This window comes from Homo sapiens, chromosome 18 (genome assembly GCF_000001405.40).
Source record: "Homo sapiens chromosome 18, GRCh38.p14 Primary Assembly".
Classification (NCBI taxonomy): Eukaryota; Metazoa; Chordata; class Mammalia; order Primates; family Hominidae; genus Homo; species Homo sapiens.
In genome coordinates, this window is record NC_000018.10 from 29,220,838 (window position 1) to 29,234,169 (window position 13,332).

A 13,332-nucleotide genomic window follows, 5' to 3' on the forward strand; every position below is an offset into this window, starting at 1 on the left:
AATACCATTTGACCCAGCCATCCCATTACTGGGTATATAACCAAAGGATTACAAATCATGCTGCTATAAAGGCATATGCACACATATGTTTATTGTGGCACTATTCACAATAGCAAAGACTTGGAACCAACCCAAATGTCCATCAAGGATAGACTGGATTAAGAAAATGTGGCACATATACACCATGGAATTCTATGCAGCCATAAAAAAGGATGAGTTCATGTCCTTTGTAGGGACATGGATGAAGCTGGAAACCATCATTCTCAGCAAACTATCTGAAGAACAAAATACCAAACACTGTATGTTTTCACTCATAGGTGGGAACTGAACAATGAGAACACTTGGACACAGGAAGGGGAACATAACACTGGGGCCTGTTGTGGGGTGGGGGGATGGGGAAGGGAAAGCATTAGGAGATATACCTAATGTAAATGACGACTTAATGGGTGCAGCACACCAACATGGCACATGTATACATATGTAACAAACCTGCACGTTGTGCACATGTACCCTAGAAGTTAAAGTATAATTTTAAAAAAATCATGTAATCTCAGCATTCGAGAGACAGCATTACATAGTTGGCTTGGATATGAAAATATCCAGTTCTGAATTCAACTTTGTTGATTTTTTTATAGCCTGAAAATTCTTCCCTTGCTCTTTGCCATATAGCGAGCTACAATTCATCCTATAAAAAGTCAGTTCAAATACCATATGTTTTGGAAATCCTTTCAATAGTCTTGCAGGCATAAGTAGTTATTCCTTTCACTGAAGGAGAGATGATCATGTTGTAGCCCAGGGAGTGAATGGACACATGAAGCAGAAATACAACATAGCCACAGGACAGTGTCTAGGAATGGTTGTCTCCTCCAAAGTAACAGAGACTCCTCCAAGAGTTGGTAGGAATACAAAACAGATACCCACCACTGCTGGGCCTCATCCCAAGAGTAATACCACTTAGGATAATCTTGTATAATAACTGTTCTTTCTAGAGTGGAAATATTCAACAAGCAGCTACCTTCTAAAATATGTTAATAGATAACACCATCTGGCACCCTTTCTGGTGATATTGTAAGTTATTAGATAGTGCCCTTTCAGAATACTGTGGTGAAATGCCACTCTATGAAACAGAGATTTTGCAAGAAAAGGGAGAGGCAAAGAATTAAACTTGGGGAGGTGTTCCTATCACAAAAAAAAAAAGCATATAGAAGTTCAAAGCTTTCTATTTTTCATGATCTCCATTGCTATGGTTTGAATGTGTCCCCTCCAAAATTCAGGTATTGCCAATATGACAATATTGAGAGGTGAGGCCTTTAAGAAGGCCACATGATCTCCTACTTCATGAATGAGATTAGGGTTATGAAAGAGACTTCATGCAGTGTTTGGTAGCCTACATTTCTGCCTTCTGCCATGTGGATCAGCAAAAAGGCCCTCACTAGATCCTGGCACCTTGATCTTGAACTTCCAACATTCAGAGATGTCAAAAATAAATTTCTGTTGTTTCAATTATTTACCCCGTTTGTGGTATGTTACAGAAGCATAAACAAAGACAACCATTAAGGTTGCCACTATACTGTTGTGAATGGGAATTTCTGATTCAGATCAAGGACAAATTACTTAGTTTGGCCCTGGGTAATAAAACCTTCACTGGAAAAAGCAAAATGGTGACATTTTCCACATGGAAAACTCTTAGGTCACAAAATCTTGACTTCTTTTCTTTTTGATCTTATTCGACGCATAGTAAAGCAAAGACAATTCCATTTATTGGGAAAAACTGTTTCCCATTTCTCCTGCTTCTTTCTCCATATATTAAGGCCAGCATGTATCCAACCTGGAGAACTAAGAAATCATGAGCATGAGAGAGAGAAATTAAGGTTTTTTTTCCCTAATAATTGTAATAAGACTTTTCATAAATAAAATGAATACCAAGAATATTTGCCATCTGAGAGATCAAGATGTGTGTCCAAAGTAAGCCGTTGTCGTTTGCCGAAAGTGTTCTTCATAGCCATTGAGTTATGGGGTAGAAGTAGCAGTTAATATTTGATGGAGAATTAGGGTTTGTATATATTTATCGCTAGACTTAGATCACTATGGCTAACAGGGTGTTTGGATAATTTAATATTAAATAGATAAGACTGACACAGAGAATATACCTATGAAACTGTATAAGCCTCATCTCTGAATTTACAGTAAAACCCCTAGGTTATAAAAAAAATTACAAAACAACATTACTATTTGGAAATTTTAAAATATTATTGTAAATGAATGAATCAATGAGGAAATCAAAAACAAGTACATATAATTTGAAAAGAAGAGAAAACCTGAAAATTACATGTGAACCAGTTTTAAATGTGTTTGAAATTGTAATATTTGCAAAGCCACAGTTTAGTGATATACACAAGTGTTTGCACATCCATATTCACATGCATACAAATGAGAATGAATGAATAATGAATAAAACATATAACTTAAAAAGTTAGAAAAATAACTTCAAGATAAATTTGGAAAAGTAGTTTACAGGACATACATAAAATAATGATTAATAGTTAATATATTTAGAAGATTTAGTGAAAACAAAGGTGGAGGGAAGCTCTAATCAAGTCAAAGAAAGGATAGAAAATTTAGGAACAACAAATGAACTATAACCACAAATGTCAATGCAGATAATACACTAGATGAAAATAGGTTTCTAATTTACAGTTTAAAAAATGTGAAATATCTCAATTAAATGGAAAAACTTATGAGTTAATATCTAAACTGGTCAAGAAAAAGAAAGTATATCCAAACAAGTAAATAAAGAACAAAAAGTAAATGTTACCAAAGAAATACTGCCAGAAAAGCAATTGTGTGCCAATGGTCTTATAAGTGATTTGCTAAAAATTTCCTAATGACAGATAATTCCTCTTCTAGGGAGATGTTCTATAGAAAGAGGACATATTTTTAAAATATAGATAATTATTCACAAGATAGTTATTATTATAGATGCATTGAAAACCTTATTGTATATTACAAATCAAAGACAACCAAAGGCTAGAGGAAGTCTTGTTTCTCTTATGCCTGACATGTAATTTGGGACTCATACTGACCTTGCCTTCAAAATATATCCCAAACAATCAGACCATGTATATTTTACCATTTAAACCACTACCACTCTGCTCCTAGCCACCATCTTCTCCTGCTAGAACCTTGAAACTCTCCAGCTCAGGGATCCCCAACCCTCAGGCCACAGACTAGTACCCCCAGTGCCCCAACCCCCAGGTCATGTACTGGTACTGGTCCGTGGCCTATTAGGAATTGGGTTGCACAGCAGGTAAGCAAGTGAAGCTTCATCTGTATTTACAACCATGCCCCATCCCTCACATTACCACCTGAGCTCTTTCTCCTGTCCGATCATCAGCAGCATTAGATTCTCCTAGGAGCAGGAACCTATTGTGAACTGCACATACGAGAGATTTAGGTTGTGTGCTCCTTATGAGAATCTAATGCCAGTTGATCCGCCACTGTCTCCCATCACCCCAAGGTGAGACCATCTAGTTGCAGGAAAACAAGCTCAGGTCTCCCACTGACTCTACATTATAGAATTCTACATTATAGAGTTGTATAATTATTGCATTATATATTACAGTGTAATAATAATAGAAATAAAGTGCACAATAAATGTAATGTACTTGAATCATCCTGAAACCATACCCCCTGCCCTGTCGCTGGAAAAATTGTCTTCCTCGAAACCAGTCCCTGGCTCTAAAACGGTCGGGGACCAATGATCTAGCTGGTAATCCTGCTTACACTATTGATTCCCCCTCCCCCGATATATTCTCCATAGAGAAACCAGAGAATTATTTTAAAAACACATATTTCATCATATCATTTTCATGCTCAAAATACTCGAATCACTTCCTTACAAACCAAAGTAAAATTCAAATACTATTGCAGCCAAAAAGATATGGGTCCTTGCTCCTTTTTTTATCTGATCCTTAATGATCTCCTCCTTATTCACTGGGTTCCTGAGTCCTTGGTGCTCCCGGAGCATGCTAAGCCCTGGCTTCAGGTCTTTACTTGCTGTTCCATCTGTCTAGAATACTCTTTCCTCAAATAACCAGATGGCTTAACCCCTCACCTCATTCAGCCCTCCCCTCAAACATTACCTCATTAAAAATGCATCTCTGCCCTTTCAAAAACATAGAATGAACCATAGTTCTCCATATTTTTATTTCACTTTATTTTTCTTCATATAATTTATATTAGGTCATATATTGATTATATATTGATTATCTGTTTCCACCCACTAGAAAACCAATTTCATTACAGTGACACCTTTTTTCCCTTGTGTATCCAGTATTTACAAGAGTGCCTGGCACTCCTTGTAAAAGGAGCTCAGTATTTTTCGATTAAAGAATAAATAAAATCAATGACATCAATCTTGGGAAACAAAATAACTTACTTTACTTATGTAATTGAATTAATGTCATTGAAATATATATTAAGGGCATAGAGAGGTACTTACTATATTAATTAAAATATAAAATTTAGTTATTAATTTGCATAAAAATATTGAGTCAGCAATCTACAAATTATGTGCATAGAAAAATTACCAGCCTGGGCAACATAGTGACAACCTGTTTCTACAAAAATAAATTTAAATTTTATCTGGGCATTGTGGTGTGCATGTGTAGTCCCAGCTGTTTGGAAGACTGAGGTGGGAGGATCACTTGAGCCAAGGAGTTTGAGGTTACAGTGAGTTATGATTTCACCACTGCACTCCAGACTACACAACAAAGAAAGATCCTGTCTGTTTAAAAAAAAAAAAAAAAGGAAAAAATAGAAGAAGAAAACTCAAAACTCTCTATTAAGAGTTCACCTGAATGGTAAGCATAACAACATTTGTTGTTTTATTTGTATTTTCTTTTATTTTTAAATTATTCTTTTATTTTTTAGTAATTATTGAAAATATTTTAAAAATTGAGCACCTACCATTGGCAGTCCACTGCTAGCCTGGGGTCAGTGGATATGGAGTTAATAGATGTCCTAATTTTAGTCAGAATAACACACACACACACACACACACATATCTATATACACCAATAATTATAATCTCAGTCATACAGGGTGAAGGTCCCATGACCAATTGTGGTTGCTCCTTAATTTTTTAAGCCTATTTTCCTCAGATACGATAAAGAGATAATAAATCATCTTCATAATTCTATGCTAATACTATGTTAGTTAATGTGAGTAAAAAGCATAACACAATAACTAGTAATAAACTCAATTAGTCATTTTTATTGTTATGCTTATTAGTGTAGTAGAAAGAGTGGTTATTTTATCAGCAATATTAAGAAAGACATCATGAAGTAGTGGGAACTAGACTGAGCTTAAAAACTAATAGTATTTGACAGTATGGCCAGTAGTACATCCAGGCTAAGTTATGCTATGATAACAAACAACTAAGCCAAATCTCAGTGACTCAAGGAAACTTTCTTTTACCACCTGCACTTCCAATGCAGATCAACAATCAGGTGGGTGGGGTTGGTTGCCCCTGGTCAATCCCTCTGGGAGGCAAACCAACAAAGGCCTTATCTCGACCTGTGTGGGACTTGTGCAACATTAGGAGTGATATGCATTGAATTACTCATTGTCTCTTAATTTTTCTGGACAGAATTGCCACACTTCACCTTTACTCACATTTCAACAGCCAAATAAAGCTACATGGCTAACTGTAACTTCAAGTTGATGGAAAGCAATTCTACCCTGTATAAACCAAAAATAAAATTCTAAGCCCCCCCACCACCAAACCCACCTCTACTCTTGGGCAAGTTCATTCCTAAGTTAACCTGAAAAACTAGTTCAGGCCATGATGGAAAGTTGGGGTTGGGCAAATCTCATTATTCCCTCCTCCCTTTGAAATTCAGGCTAGGCTGACCAGTATTTAACATTAAAATAGAGACCTTAAGACTGACAAAGCAGACTCTTTGTAGAAATAAGATAATATGACAGATGGCAGGCCCTAAAATAAAGTGTTTTACCCCAAAATATATTTATTTTACATACTTTGAAATGGCCCTGAAAAGCCCTGCAAATTCTGTAGATTTTCCCTTCCCTTTCTGGGTCTTTGTCCTGATCCAGGAGAGAACTAAGAGTGTGGCAACTTTTTAAGTCTGATAAGAAACATTTACAATCTATTTTCTCCGAAGCCTGCTAACTGGAGGTTTCAACTGCATAATTAAAACTTTGAACTCCACAACAACGCTTTATCCTAACACAGACACTTCCTCTGCTGGTTTCAAGTCTTTAGATAAACTCTTTCAACCAATTGCCAATCAGGAAATTTTTGAATCCACCTATGACCTGACAGCTTCCCTGTGTGACCACTCTCCTTTGAGTTGTCCCATCTTCCAAACCATTTTACATATTACATGTATTGACTGATGTCTTATGACCACTTTGCACACATGTTCTCAGGACCTTCTGAAGCTGTGTTATGGACATGTCCTTAACCTTGACAAAATAAACTTCCAAACTGATTGGGACCTATCTCATACATTTCAGTTTAGACTTGGGTGTAAAATTAAAGAGCTGGAAATATTTGTTGAAAGCACTAATAATCACCACACACAGATTGACAAGGATAGTTGGTGGATTTGTTTCATCATCAGGCTAATTTGGAGAATGAAAACTGTTAGTTCATGAGTTTTTTCTCTATCTCTGAACAAAAACAATATAAGAGTATATGATCTCTAGCACTCAGCAAAATGGATATTCCAAATCTTCCTACTGCTAAAATGCCAAACAAATTGTATACAATTTTTAAAAGATTTAAAAATTCATGTCTGAGCTAGCAATAAATAAAAGTGATCTTTAGAGGCAGAAAGTAAATTGAAAGCATAAATCTACAGTAACAAGTGAAAGTCCCTCACTTTCCTGGGAAAACTTGTACAGCCCTTAATATAGAGCTTTGATTTTAATAACATATGTGTGCATAGGGCCCACACAAAGTGAAAGATCAGATCAGGGACCACAAATAAAGCTGGGATATAAGGGTAACTATCTTAGGGAAAGAGTGAACCTGGAAATATAAATAAAACAGAAAAATAATCATCTGCAAAGACAGATTGTTTGAAAACTTATCTGTTGTAGCTTTGGATTTCAGAATTCATAACCACGAGCTGTGCTCACATGGTTTTGTGGCCCGATTTCATGTTACCTGTGTGGTCCAAAAGCCCCAAGAAGAAGAATATGGCTTAAAATCATCCCATGAAGTTATCATGCATTACACACGTTCTAGGTACCAAAGAGAAACATATGCAAATACTCTCTGAAGGAAGAAACTTTCAGTATTAGTCACATAGATTTCCCAGAAATGCAGAGTTTTTTCTGAAAATATGAATTCACAATAAAAACAATCACAAAGCAAATGAAGAAGCAAGGCATTATAAATAATAGTTGATGTAATACACTACCAAACCAAATTTAAAAGATTTTAGGTATAGGAATTATATGTAAAAATTTTTTAAATGTGTGTTTAATATTGGAAAAAATAAAGTAAGGAATCCAAAATATGGAAAATAAAAAGACTATATAAAATTGATTATTCACAGTTGAAAAAATGTTCAAATATAAATTTTAGAAATAAAAAATATAAAAATTTAGAATTTAAAGCTCTAATGGTATTTCTAATTATGGTAAGATACATAGAACATAAAGTTTACTATTTCAACTAATTCAATGTGTACAATTCAGTGGCAACAAATACATTTACAAGGTTGTTCCAGATATCTCTTTCATCATCACAAAAAGAAACTCTGTACCAGTGAAGCAGAAAATATTTCCTTCTCCATTTTCTTTTAAGAATTTGAGAAGAATTGGTGTTAATTATACTTTAAATATTTAGTAGAATTCAGTAGTGAAGTTTTCTGGTCCCAGATTTTTCTTTGTTGGAAGGCATTTGATTACTGATTCAATGTCTTTACTTGCTATAGTTCTATTTAGATTTTTAAACATTTCTTCTTGAGTTAGCTATGTGAATTTGTGTGTTTCTAAAGCTTTGTGTATTTCACCCAGGTTAACCAATTTGTTAGAATAAAATTGTTCATAGTATTCTCTTAACATTTATTTCATTTTATAGGGTTTATTGTATTGTTCCACTTTTATTTTATTTTTTGGTTGAGACAGAGTCTCACTCTGTCACCCGGGCTGGAAGGCAGTGACATGATCTTGGCTCACTGCAACCCCTGCCACCTGGTTCAGGTAATTCTTGTTCCTCAGCCTCCCGAGTAGCTGGGACTACAGGTGCATGCCACCACGCCCAGCTAATTTTTTTGTATTTTTAGTAGTGACAGGGTTTCACCATGTTGGCCAGGCTGGTCTCGATCTGCCCACCTCGGCCTCCCAAAGTACTGGGGTTACAGGCGTGAGACACAGCACCCGGCCTGTTCCACTTTTATTTCTGATTAAGTAGTTTTATTTTTTTTCTTTTACTTAGTCAATGGATAAAGACTTGTCAATTTTAATAACATTTTCAAAGAACCAACTTCTTTTGTTTTTATTTATTTTCTCTATTGTTTTCTGTTTTCTAGTTAATTTACTTCTTACTAATCTTTATTATTTCTTTCCTTCTACCAGCTTTGCATTTAGTTTGCATTTCTTTTTAGTTTCTTTTAAGTTATTTTCTATTTTCTACTGTGATTGATATTTGATCTATTAGTTATTTAAAAATGTTTTATTTTTCATGTATTTGTGAATTTCCTAATTTTCCTTCTGATATTGATTTCTAGTTTCATTTCATTGTAATTAGAGAAGATAACTTACATTATTTTAGTCTTCTTAACTTTACTGAGGCTTATTTTGTGGCTTAACATGTGGTCACTTCTAGAACATGTTCCACGTGTGCTTGAAAAAAATATGTATTATCCTATTGTTATATAAAATGTTTTGCATATGTCTGTTAGGTCCAATCAATGTATAGTCTTGTTCAAGTCATCTGTTTTCTTATTGATCTTATGTCCTGTTTTCCTACCTATTATTATAAGTGGGGAATTGAAGTCTCCTACTACTACTGTGTTGCTGTCCATTTCTCTTTTCAATTCTGTCAATGTTTGCTTCATATATTTGGGAGCTCTAATGTTAGGTGCATATACATTTATAATTGTTATACCTTTCTAGTGAATTGACCCCTTTATTATTGTATAATGTCCTTCATTTTCTCTTGTAATGGTTTTTACTTGAAGATTATTTTGTCTGATATTATTATGACCACTTCATCTCTCTTTCATATGGAATATTTTATGGAATATTTATATGGAATATTTTTCCATTTTTTAACTTTCAACTAATTTGTGTCTTTGAATATAATGTTAGTCTATTTTAGCTGACATAGAGCTAAATCATAATTCTTAAAAAACCCATTCTGCTAATATCTGCTTTAAGTCAAAACTGTCACAAAAGACAAATGATATTATATAGCAATAAAAGGGTCAGTTCACCAGGAAGATAAAACAATTATAGTCACCCATTCCTTAATGACAATAATATGTTCTGAGAAATGCATCACTGGGCAATTTCGTCATTGTACAAATATCACAGAGTACAGTTCCATAAACTTAGATGATATAGACTACTGCACATCTAGGTTATGTGCTATATGGCTTATTGTTCTGAGGCTACAGACATATACAATATGCTACTGTGCTGAATACTGTAGGTAATTATAACACAATGGTAAGTATTTGTGTATCTGAACACAGAAAATATATGGCAAAAAATACAGTATTATAATCTTATGGGGCCACCATTGTATATGCAGTTCATTGTTCACCAAAACGTCGTTATGTGGTTCATCATTGCAGAAATATATATGTACCTAACATTAGAGCTCCCAAATATGTGAAGCAATCATTGACAGAATTAAAGGGAGAAATAGACACAAAACTAGAGTGGGAGACTTTAATTTCCCACTTTCAACAGTGGATTGAACAAATGAACATATGATCAATAAAGAAACAGAGGACTTGAACAACACTTTAGACACATTGGACATAACAGACATATACAGAACACTATACCCAACACCGCAAAATATACACTCTTCTCAAGTTCACATGAAGCATTTTCCAGGATAAATCATATGTTAGGCCACAAAAGAGGTTTTACTAGGTTAAAAAAGTTTAAAGTTATACAAGGTATCCTTTGCTACAGAATAAGAATGAAACTAGAAATCAATAATGGAAGGAAAATTGAGCAATCCACAAACATGAGAAAGTTAAACAACACTCTCTTAAATGACTAATAAGTCAAAGAAGAAATTATAAGGAAAATTTAAAAAATAAAAATGCAACATAGCAAAACTCACTGGTTACAGTGAAAGTGCTAAGAGGGACATTTATAGCTATAAACACTTACACTTAAAAAAAACCTGAAACCAACAACCTAGTTATAAACATCAAGAAGCTAATAAAAGAAAGAAAATCTAAAACCAAAGCTTGCAGTAGAAAAAAAATTAGATAAAATAGAAATATAATAGATTATAGAAAAATAATAGAAAACATAAACAAAACTATGATTTTTTAAAAATCAACAAAATTGAAAAATTTTTAGCTAGACTAAGAGAAAAAAAGAAGACTCAAATAACTCACGCTGGAAATAAAAATGGGACATTTCAAATGATGCCACAGGAATGTAAATGATTATAAGACTATTATAAACAACTATGTACCAACAACTTGGATAAATTAGAAGGTATGGATGAATTTCTAGAAACACACAACCTTCCAAGACTGAATGAAGAAAGTAGAAAAATGGACCTGTAACTAGTAAGGAAATAAAATTATAATCAAAATCCTCCCAAAAGAGAGAAACGCAAGATCATATGGCTGCATTGTAGAATTCTACAAAACATTTAAAAAAGAATTAACACTAATCCTTCTCAAACTCTTGTAAAAATTAAAAAGGAGAAAACACTTTCCAATTTATTCTATGAGGTTAGTATCACTCTGATACTAAGCCAGGGAAAGATATTACACAAAAAGAGAACTACAAACCAATATCCTTGATTAATATTGATGTAAAAATCCTCAACAAAATACAGCCAAACCAAATTCAACACAACACTAAAAGGATTATATACCATGACTAAGTAGAATTTATCCCTGGAAGGCAAGGATAGTTCAACATACAAAATCAATGAATGTAATATGTCATGTTAACAATGAAAAACAAAAACCACATGATCATCTCAATTGATGAGAAAATATTTTTTAAAATTGCATACCTTTTCATGATAAAAGCACTCAATCAATAAGGAATAGAAAGAGACTACATCAACTTAATGAAGGTCATATATAAAAAGCTCACTGCTAACTTCATACTCAATGGAGAAAGTCTGAAAGTTTTTCCTCCTAATTAGGGAACAGGAGAAAGAATATCCTCTCTCACCACTTTTACTCAACATAGCACTGAAAGTCCTAGCCAGAGGAATCAGGCAAGAAAAATAAGTGAAAAGAATGCAAGTTTAAGAGGAAGAAATAAAATTATCTCCATTCACAGGTGGTATGATCTTATATGTAGAAATATTTACAATTCAAAAAAACACCTTAGAACTAATAAACAAATTCAGCAAAGTGGCAGCACACAAAATCAACCCACAAAAATCAGTTGCATTTCTATAAACTAACAGTGAACAGCCTGAAAAAAGAAATTAAGAAGATGATTCCATTTACATTAGCATCAAAAGGAATAAAATACTTGGGAAAAAATTTAACAAAAATGGTGAAAGACTTATACACTGAAAACTAGAAAACTTTGCTGAAAGAAATTAAAGAAAACACAGCAAATGAAAAGATAGCCCATGTTTAGGGAGATTGAAGATGTAATATTATTAAAATATCAATACTTCCCAAAGTGATCTACAGATTAAATGTCTTCCTTACCAAAATTTCAGTGGAATTATTTTTGCTGAAATATAAAAATCCATGCTAAGCATAATACAGAATCTCAAGGTTACCCAAATAGCCAAAATAATTTTGGAAAAGAATAGCCAGAGGACTCACAGTTTCTGATTTCAAATTATATTACAAAGCTGCAGTAAACAAAATAGTGCAGTCCTGTCATAAAGACAGACATATGAGCCAATGGAATGGAATATAGACCTCAGAAATAAATCATCACCTATATAGTCAAATGATTTTTTATAAGGGCCCCAAGTCCACTCAATGAAGGAAAGGACAGTCTCTACAATAAGTCCTGTTGAGAAAACTGGATATCCATATGCAAAAGAATAAAGTTGGATCCTTATCTTATACCATATACAAAAGTTAAATCAAAGTGGATTAAAAACTTAATGTAAATCCAAAGCTATAAAAACTCCTATGAGAAAACATAGGGGAAATCTTTCATGGCATTGGATTTGGCGAAGATTCTTTGGATATGATACCAAAAACATGAGCCATGAAAAGAATAGTGAACAAGGGATTTTATCCAAATAAAACTCTTTTGTACAATGAGGACACTACCAACAAAGTGAAAAGGCAACCTGTGGAAAGGGAGAAAATATTTGCAAAGCATTATCTGATAAAGGATTAATATCCAGAGTATATAAATAACTTGTACAAAACAACAACAGCAGAAGAAACAAAACAATTAAAGCATGGAAAAGGGGAGTGAATAAACATTTCTCCAAAGATGATATACAAATGATCAACAAGCATATGAAAAGATGTTCAGCAATACTAATCATTAGAGAAATGCAAATCAAAACTACAATGAGACATTATCTCCCTCTTAGAATGGCTACTATCAACAAAAGACAAAAAGAGAGAAAAGCAGATATTTCTAAGGATGTGGAAAAATTGTAACCCTGTTAGAATGTAAAATCACGCAACTGCTGTGGAAACTGTATGAGGGTTCCTCAAAAATTTAAAAATGGGATTACCATATGATCCAGCAATCCCACCTCTGATTGTGTATGTAAAAGAATTGAAAGCAGCATCTCAAAGAGATATGTACACACTCATGATCATAACAGTATTAGTCTCGATAACAAAGAGGTGGAAGCAAACAAATGTCCATCAGTGGATGAACAGATAAACAACATGTGGCATATACATGCAATGAAATATTACTCAGTCTTAGAAGAAAATTCTGACATATGTTAAAATGTGAATGGATCTTGAGGACATTATGCAAAATGAAAGCAGCTAGTCTGAAATAGCAAACACTGTATGATTCCACTTTTATGAGGTACTAAAGTAGTAGAAACCACAGAAACAAAAGTAAAATGGTTGTTGCCAGGAGCTGGAAAGAAGAGAGAAATGGTAAGTGGTTTAATGGGGATATAGTTTCAATTCT

General features: G+C 33.8%; 1 long non-coding RNA gene across 2 annotated transcripts in view; it reads right to left on the minus strand.

The window, feature by feature from the left end:
* LOC105372044 (uncharacterized) overlaps positions 1–13,332 on the minus strand; it is a 74,947-nt gene that overhangs the window by 40,443 nt on the left and 21,172 nt on the right. The gene's annotated exons all lie outside the window — the stretch shown is intronic.